The sequence below is a fragment of the Homo sapiens genome, chromosome 8, assembly GCF_000001405.40.
Source record: "Homo sapiens chromosome 8, GRCh38.p14 Primary Assembly".
Lineage (NCBI taxonomy): Eukaryota > Metazoa > Chordata > Mammalia > Primates > Hominidae > Homo > Homo sapiens.
In genome coordinates this window covers 49,243,979-49,252,236 of record NC_000008.11, presented here as the reverse complement: position 1 = coordinate 49,252,236, position 8,258 = coordinate 49,243,979, and the positions used below count along the sequence as shown (strand labels likewise).

Here is an 8,258-nt window from a genome sequence, read left to right as displayed (position 1 = left end):
AGAACTTTCAAAACCAGTTTTTAAAAATAGTCTGTAAGTGCATATGCAAGAGCTGCACTTGCTTGTCAATACCAAGTGGGCAGTCTGGTTGAGGAGATAAAGGAGGATTGGAAACACAGTTGTGGCTTCCTTCCAGTATTGTGTGAGAGGGACTTCATCTCCACCTGTCTTTGTGTCATTAACTGTTTAGCCAAAATTAATAAAAGTATAGAATCAGGGATATTTGGAGGAACAATTTCATAGGTCAAATATAAATTTACTAGGAGGCTAAATTATGTCTAACAATTTAGGATTCATAAACATGATTTTAAACTCAGGGAGGTGAGATTTAAAGATGACTGTAGCTAAGAAAGCAAAGGCTTACAGAAACCTGTACACAAGCAAGTCAATGTGTGTTTGGCACTGTCTGAAGAAGGTGCGTGACAAGCAGCAGGTGTGTGCAGCAGCAGCAGATGTGTGCAGCCCCAGGGACGACGGACTATGGCTCAGAGACACGCACACATCCTGTGATTCCGGTTATTCTATCACAAAGCCCACCCCATTCTAATTATGACCACATGTGCTTTCCTGTGCAGATTTTCCTACACTGAGAAGAAGCAGTGCTGACCATGAGGATTTTCTGGTTCTCCTATCTTTCCTTTTCAAAATGAAGTCTTTTATGCCCTGAATCATTGGCCAAAGTCTGCTCTAATCTATGACTCACCAAAATTTGTTACTGGCTCTGCAGAGTTAAGGAGAGGGCCACAGGTCAGGGTAACATCTTCATATGAGTTCCGTTTGTTGAATTATTTCCTGAGGGACTAGCTTTTCTTCCAAACCAATATTTCAACCCAAAAACCTCTACTTCTAGTGTGGAACTGAGTTATAACCTAAGAATATGAAGGCACCTGATTAATTTGATTGAATAAATTGAATGCACTTATGATGATGAAGAAAGTGATAGATTTGAGATTGCTGAATGAAATAGAAAATGACTGAAACAAGACAAGAATGAAGTATATATACGCAATGTGAAATACCATTCAGCCTTAAGAAAGGGAAAAAGTCTGTCATTTGTGACAACATGGATGAAACTGGATGACTTTATGTTAAGTGAAATAAGCCAAACACCGAAAAATATGCTGTGTGTTTTCACTTATATGTAGAATCTAAAACCTGGGGAGTGGAAGAAATGAGGAGATGATAATCAAAGGGTACAAAGCCTCAGTTAGATAGAAGGAATAAGGTTGATTTTTTTTTAGATCTACTGCACAATGTGGTGAATATAGCTAACAATTTAGTACTCTACACTGCAATATCACTGAGTAAATCTCAAATGGTCTCATCATGAAAAAATCTAATATTTGAGGTTATCGATAGATCAATTAGCTTGATTTTTCAATTCACATTGTATTCCAAAATCATAACATCACTTTGTGCCCCATAAATACATACAACTATAATTTGACAATGAATAATAAAAACAAATAAATAAAAAGCCTATATTGAGACCACATAAATAGCACTGTAAAACATAAACAAAACAACTTTTCTATAGAAATTTTAAACTAAAAAATTTTATAAAATGACAAAAAGAAACATTCATTTATATATATATTATATGTATCTCATATATATGCAGACACGCATATAGTGAAGGATATATGAAATTATATATGTATATTTCATTATCTATATTACAAACAATTAGTCTATAATGTGTATCAGCCCTTTGTAAGTTATGATAAACTTTCAATAGGCATTGATTAAACTGAATTAATTGAACCAAATATTGTAATACTGAGGGTACAAATCACTCAAAGAGGAGGTAGGGAGGAATTTTGAAAGTCCAGATTACATTAGAGCTGTGCTGAGAAAAGACTCTAACTGATGGATTCTTGATCTATCAGTGCCTTCATTTTGAATAAATATGGGGTATTGGGGAAAAAGCCACTTCACAATGATTTTCAAGATAGTCTTTAGCCCAAAATACCCCAAACCTTGTAGGTGTTACACATCATATAACATATAACATATATTATATGTGTGTGTGTGTGTGTGTGTGAATGTACATATATATGTGTGTACATATATGTGTACATACATTTAAATATATATTTATTTGTAAAATATGTATATATAACCATCTTTCTTTGTCACATAAAGAATGCTCAGTTTTAGGTGAAGAAAATGACTCTCTTCAACTTATACCACATTTGTTCTATTATTTTCTGCTTTTGTGTTTTCTTCTTTCTCCCCACACCCTACCCCAGAACTTGGCACACTGGCACATAGCAGCTCATTGCCTTTCAGTGCCAGCAGGAAAGGCATTGATCAGTGGCATGGTGGATTCAAACCTACACATCCTACCAGTCTCTTTGGGCATCCAGTCTCTTTTGGACTCTTTGGGAGTCCAGGAGAGTTAGCAAGCCAGGGACTCCCAGGGAGCCATGTGGTTATATCAGAAAGTACTAGACCAAGACTCAGGAGGTGTGGGCCATGGTCTGGCTCTTTCATATTCAATTGTGTGACATTCTACAAATTGTTTCATCGGTATACACTTTATCATCTTCATTGCTAAAATAGAGATAACAATAAATAACTGATCTATATTACAGAATTTCTGTGAGGATCAAGTGCAGAAAAAAAAGGAAATATAAAAGAATCTATCCCCCCAAAATATTATTTGGTTCAAATGCTACTATAAACACACAGTCTCTGTATAATGGAAATGATCAATGAATCCTAGGATCAAAGTCATTTTTAATTCAACACAGAAAAATTTGGAGAGGACATTGGGGATAGAATGGAACACAACCTGGATCAAATAACAGCAGATGGTAAATTCATGAAACTATAATCAACCATTCAACTTGATTAGGTTACCAGAGTAACACACAGCAACTTAAAATACATAATTTCTACACCATGCCCATTGGGCAGAAATCATGGGCTTTGTAATATCAAATTAGGTGAACTATGTATAGTGATAGTAATAACATTAATTAACATTATTGGTCAATGACATTAGAATACCAGGTACTATTCTAAGGATGTAATAGATGAAATTGTCAGAGACATATAGTGCTATGCTTCCTGGAATGGCATAGATAAATTATCAATAAAATGGAATAATTACTTAACACTTAGGGAAGAGCAATATGAGTTCAAGTAACTCATTTTTTCTATTCCTATGAAGTTAGAATATATTCTTCTAAAAACAGGTCATGGGATCAATTTTCCTGCATACAATGTGCAGTTCTCCTCTTAGAGTTTCTAATCAAGCTGGGTAAAAAGGGAAATACATGAGCTCAAATCACCATATGGAGATAAAATATCTGGAAGTGGAGCTCAATATTAGTATTTTATCTGATCCACGTAAAATTTGATTAATACTTTACTTAGGATGAAGAAGTTTCATTGGACTCCATCACTTCTTCCTCTGTGCTCTTCCTACAGGTTGTAATGCAACCTAATTGTTTCATCTATCACACAAGTGACAATCAGAATCATTGCAGGAAACAGATCCCATGGGAGCATGTTATCGGGAGGGTATTTAATCAGAGAATAAGGTGCTTTTTAAGATCTCCAGAAGGACTGAAAGAGGGAACTTTACTCAGGACCTCTTGGGAGACTGTCAGAATCTCAGACAACTGACACTTCTGCAGCCTGGAGTAGGGGTTCTCAAGACCTACACAATGCAAATCCACTGCACAACCTGTGATCCAAGAAGCTGTCATAGCTACCAACACTAACATAGCTGCAGGTGGCAGGAACCTGAGACTCCAAATTTACTACCCAGGAAACTAGATACAACACCACAGGAAAACAATATGACATAACCTTGTTGATAACCAAAGATGTTAAGAACAGATACAACACAGGCATTCCTTGAAGATATTGTGGGGTTGGTTTCAGACCACCACAATAAAGTGAATCATTTGAATGTTTTGTTTTCACAGTGCATATTAAGTTATGCTTGTGCTATACTGTATTGTGTGCAATAACATTATTCCTAAAAAGACAATATATAGAACTTAATTTAAAAAATGCTTTATTGCTAAGAAATGCTAACAAATTGGGCACATGCTGTTGAAAAAAACGGTGCTAATAGACATGCATGATACTGAGTTGACATAAACCTTTGATGTGTAAAAACCACAATATCTGTGAATCACAATAAAGTGGAACACAGTAAAACAACATATGCCTGTATAGCACTTGCCTCAATTTCCCCTTCTAAGTCTCAAATGAAATGCAGCTAATTGGTGGATCCAGAATATGAGCTGCCAAGGAGTTGTAAAAAAATTTAGCTTTCAGATTCTGCAGCAGAGGGTGCACTACAAGGACATAAGTGCCAATCAACCATATTCCCAAGTCCAGTTTGGCGATTTGGCATTCTAATGAATAAAGATTCATTAGATCTGCACAAAGATCATTCTAGCTGCACTTAAAACCCAAGTAAGGAGTAATGTCAGGGAAGATGGCAGAGGAGGAGACACTATGAATCCGTCTTTCTACCTTGAATACAATTATACTGAACAGAAACTGTCTGAAGTAGCGATTGAACCTCTGGAGTATATTTTAATGCTTTCAGCTTCCAGAGGAAGGCTTGGCTGGGAAATTGTGGTTAGTTTTGGTCAACTGCAGTGACTACACATTCTCTACCTCACAGCCCTCTGGCAGGCAAGTGGGCCTATCTTTCTGGTGCAGCTTGCTAGAGCCAGGGTGAGAATTCAGGACCTTGTCCTCTAAATGTTGGAGTTTTGTGTTCTGACTGCTGATGGCTGCTGTTGCTTGCTGAGGTTAGGACAGAGAACCTGGCTGTCATTGCTTCATCTCCAGATTCTGGAAGTTTCCATGGGATTTACATGAACGGCACCTGTTTTATTTCTTTATCTTTTTTGGCACCCAGGCCAAACATTAGGACATTTAAAAGCAGCAGTGCATATGGCAGAATTTGTAAAGCCACCTCACATGCCAGCAGTAATGTATTATGCAAAAAAGTCCAAACAATTACTTTAGTTTTCTATTAGTTCGATCCCATGCAATTAACTACTGCTCTGTCCAATACTGGATCCGCAATCCTCATGAACACATCAACTCTCCAATGAGAGTCCTGGAAGTTTCTTGTGTAGTCAAATGGCACAAACTCTAAAGTTATCAGAATCCTGCATTCAGGAGAATCTGTCAGGGTCCTTTCCATGAACTCCACCAAAGAAGCAAGAATTGGACTGTAGCTAACCACAAACTGCTTTTTGAGAAGAAAGAAAGAAAACAATAACTGTCTGTGGTTGAAAAAGTCCAAGACAAAATTTAAAAAGGCCAAAGACAAAATTAACAAGGAAATTTGGCTATTTCTGTGGCACACAACAGTTGAACATAATAATTATTATTGCTGATAGCATATGCTAAGACATATCAGAATTATAGGAGTCTCATACAACTTTGGAACACATATTATTAACACATTTATATAAATATAACCCAAAGAATGTTAAAAACAATTTCATGTTTGACAATGCTTCCTGTATGATTTTCACATATCAAATAAGTCAAATATGTCTGCCTTGGACTTCAGGGGCCCTAATATACAAAACTTAGTTTGAGGTCAAAAGACTAAACTTAGAATTTGGAAAGTTTGTGAAATATCAAAGGTTTAAAACACTTGATATTATAAAGTATTACAGAATCACAAGTCACTGTAAAATAAGTCACTTGTTTAGCCAAAGTGGAAATCCAAAGATTTTATAAAGCATAGAACCTTTACCCTTTGATATCAAGGAGACAGTTTCCCAATAATAAGACCCAATAAAGATAGCATAGGCCAAACTGGATCTGTCTGTCTCATTCCTCTTTTCTTTCTTTTTTTTTTTTTTGCAGTTTACTCAAAAGGTAAACAAAAATTCTTTACTATCTCTTAATACTACACAAAAATCTTGTTTGAAAGAGAAAATCAAATTTTACCTTTGCATAGTATATTAACACTAAAGCTAATTTTAATGAAATTTTATAAACAAATCCATCTGGTGAGATTTCTATAAATCTTCCATAAACTTTTATAATTGTCCCATTCTTTTCCCCAACTTTTTATATCTATTTAGTTTATATCCATCCTTCTTTGTAGTCCTTCAATTTCAAACAATCCTAAAAAACCTCTAAACTAGGCAAACTTATTTTCTCTTTCAATAAAAACTACATTTCTATGTCTTCTTCTAAACTTTTTACCAAAGATAAATCTTACTTTTAAAAATAGCCTTTGCATATAGAATTGCTTCTTTCATATCTAATAGTTTTAATTACATAAATAATGACTATTCTAACTCTTAGTAACCCTGGTTCCAGTGATAAACTTAGGATTACTTAATTTAATATAACATTTAGATTTTAAGTTACTGAAGATAATTTTGAAACTAATTTTATTTATTAAAGATTACTAACATCACATGAACTAAAAGCAATTCCTCATGAAAATGTTCTTGCAAAAGCAACATAAAAGAGTCTATGTGGCCAATAATTATTCTTTCTGCACTTTATGCAAATAATCAGGCCAAATATAATAAGACTAAAATTGATTTTCCAAATCAATTAGTCCTACTATGATTTGTTGTTGGTAAAAATGGGGGACTGGAGAGAGAAAAATTATGTTTCAAAAGAAACTATAGTATACCTGCTATTAGATTCTAGCATTGTTCATTATTTTTGAGTTTTTACTATTTGTCTACAATTTAGATTGGATCCTGAATTCTTTCCTGTCTACAGGTCTCCAAACTAATGATTTCAAATGTTTCTTCCATTTTTCTGGTTTGGAATCACTAGAAATTAAAACTGGTTTTCTTAAAGCCCTGCAAACTGCAGGTAGACAAAAACTTCAGGAGAAATAACAGAAACATATATACAGAAATATACAACCTTCATGCCTGCCTGTTGATGTACTGACTCCCCAGAAAGTTCATTTGAATGCCTGATTTGAACTATAATCTAGAAAACTGTCATATTGCCACTGCAAACTGAAGATGCTTCAGAGACTAGAAAAAACAGTCTATAGACTGACTGCTCTGCACATTAACCTTTGTTTTTCTTGTTTCTCTAGAAATAACCTCTTACTAAAGATTTGTTCGCCTGCATCATATATAGGGGCCTAGCCCATGCAATGGCACCTCCTGGAATGGGAGACAGTGGTTTAACTGAACTGGTCTATTCTCAGGACTGACTAGAAGAAGATATAGAACAACATATTTAAATTTGTTCTTTTCTGTTTATTTCAATTTGTCTTTTCACTCCTTTGTCTACCTCTATCTAACAACCTCTAATCCAAATCTTTCCAAAGCTATCACGTGGGCTTTTAATATATGAAATTTTTTTTTAAGTTTCAAAGTAGGGACTGAAGGAAATCAAAATATTTTACCTCAACATATATTTCTTTGACATATTTTAAAATGGCTACAATGGAGCCAGCAGACAGAAGTGGCCTTGCAAATTTGTCTTTAGTGGGGGAAATATGCATCTGTAGAGAATCACCACTAATGCACCCAGGTCTTTCCTTTCTAGGCTTTTCCTGGATCTAAGAGAGACTGAGAGTTTGACACCTTTAAAAGCCTGGAAAGAAACACTTACCATCAATTTTCTCTGAGGGCTGCTGCTTATGAGACTTCATCTACATAACAAAGCCACCTTTGCTAGCCAGGCCTCTTCCTTTCTCCCTGTCATAATCTGTCTTGCACTAAACCTGATTTAGCCACATAATCTGTTTTTGCCCATGCTTTAAACCTGCATTCTTTCTGCATCTCTGAGATGGTACATAAGCTTCTGTACCTTGTTGAGGGCGTGGGCCTTCATTCTGAAGCCTCCCATACACACAGGTTAAATAATTTATGTCTTTTCTCCCACTAAAATAGTCCTTGATTATATTGAAGAAATGTCCTTCTATATCTAAACTGTTACGTGTTTTTATCAAGAAAGAATGCTGGACTTTATCAAGTGCTTTTTCCACACCAATTAAGACGATCTTGTAGTTTTTATCTGTCATTTAAGTAATGTGATGTATCACATTGATTAATTTGTGTATGTTAAACCAGTCTTTCATGTCAGAGATAAATTCCACTTAGTCTTGATTTATAATCTTTTTGATGTGTTATTGGATTTGGTTTGCTAATATTTTATTAAGAGCTTTTGCATCAGTGGTCATCAGAGAAATTGGCCTGTAGTTGTCTTTTCTTGTGAGGTCTTCTCTGGCTTAGAGATCAAGGTGATTCTGGTTTCATATGATGTATTTGAAA

General features: G+C 35.2%; 2 annotated features.

Annotated features, from left to right (window-relative positions):
* Positions 411 to 530: an enhancer, noted in NCBI's record as "active region_27338". NCBI's record gives its function as "activates an Ori minimal core promoter by ATAC-STARR-seq in GM12878 lymphoblastoid cells {active_cell/tissue: GM12878}" and the evidence as "EXISTENCE:reporter gene assay evidence [ECO:0000049][PMID:35858748]".
* Positions 551 to 730: an enhancer, noted in NCBI's record as "active region_27337". NCBI's record gives its function as "activates an Ori minimal core promoter by ATAC-STARR-seq in GM12878 lymphoblastoid cells {active_cell/tissue: GM12878}" and the evidence as "EXISTENCE:reporter gene assay evidence [ECO:0000049][PMID:35858748]".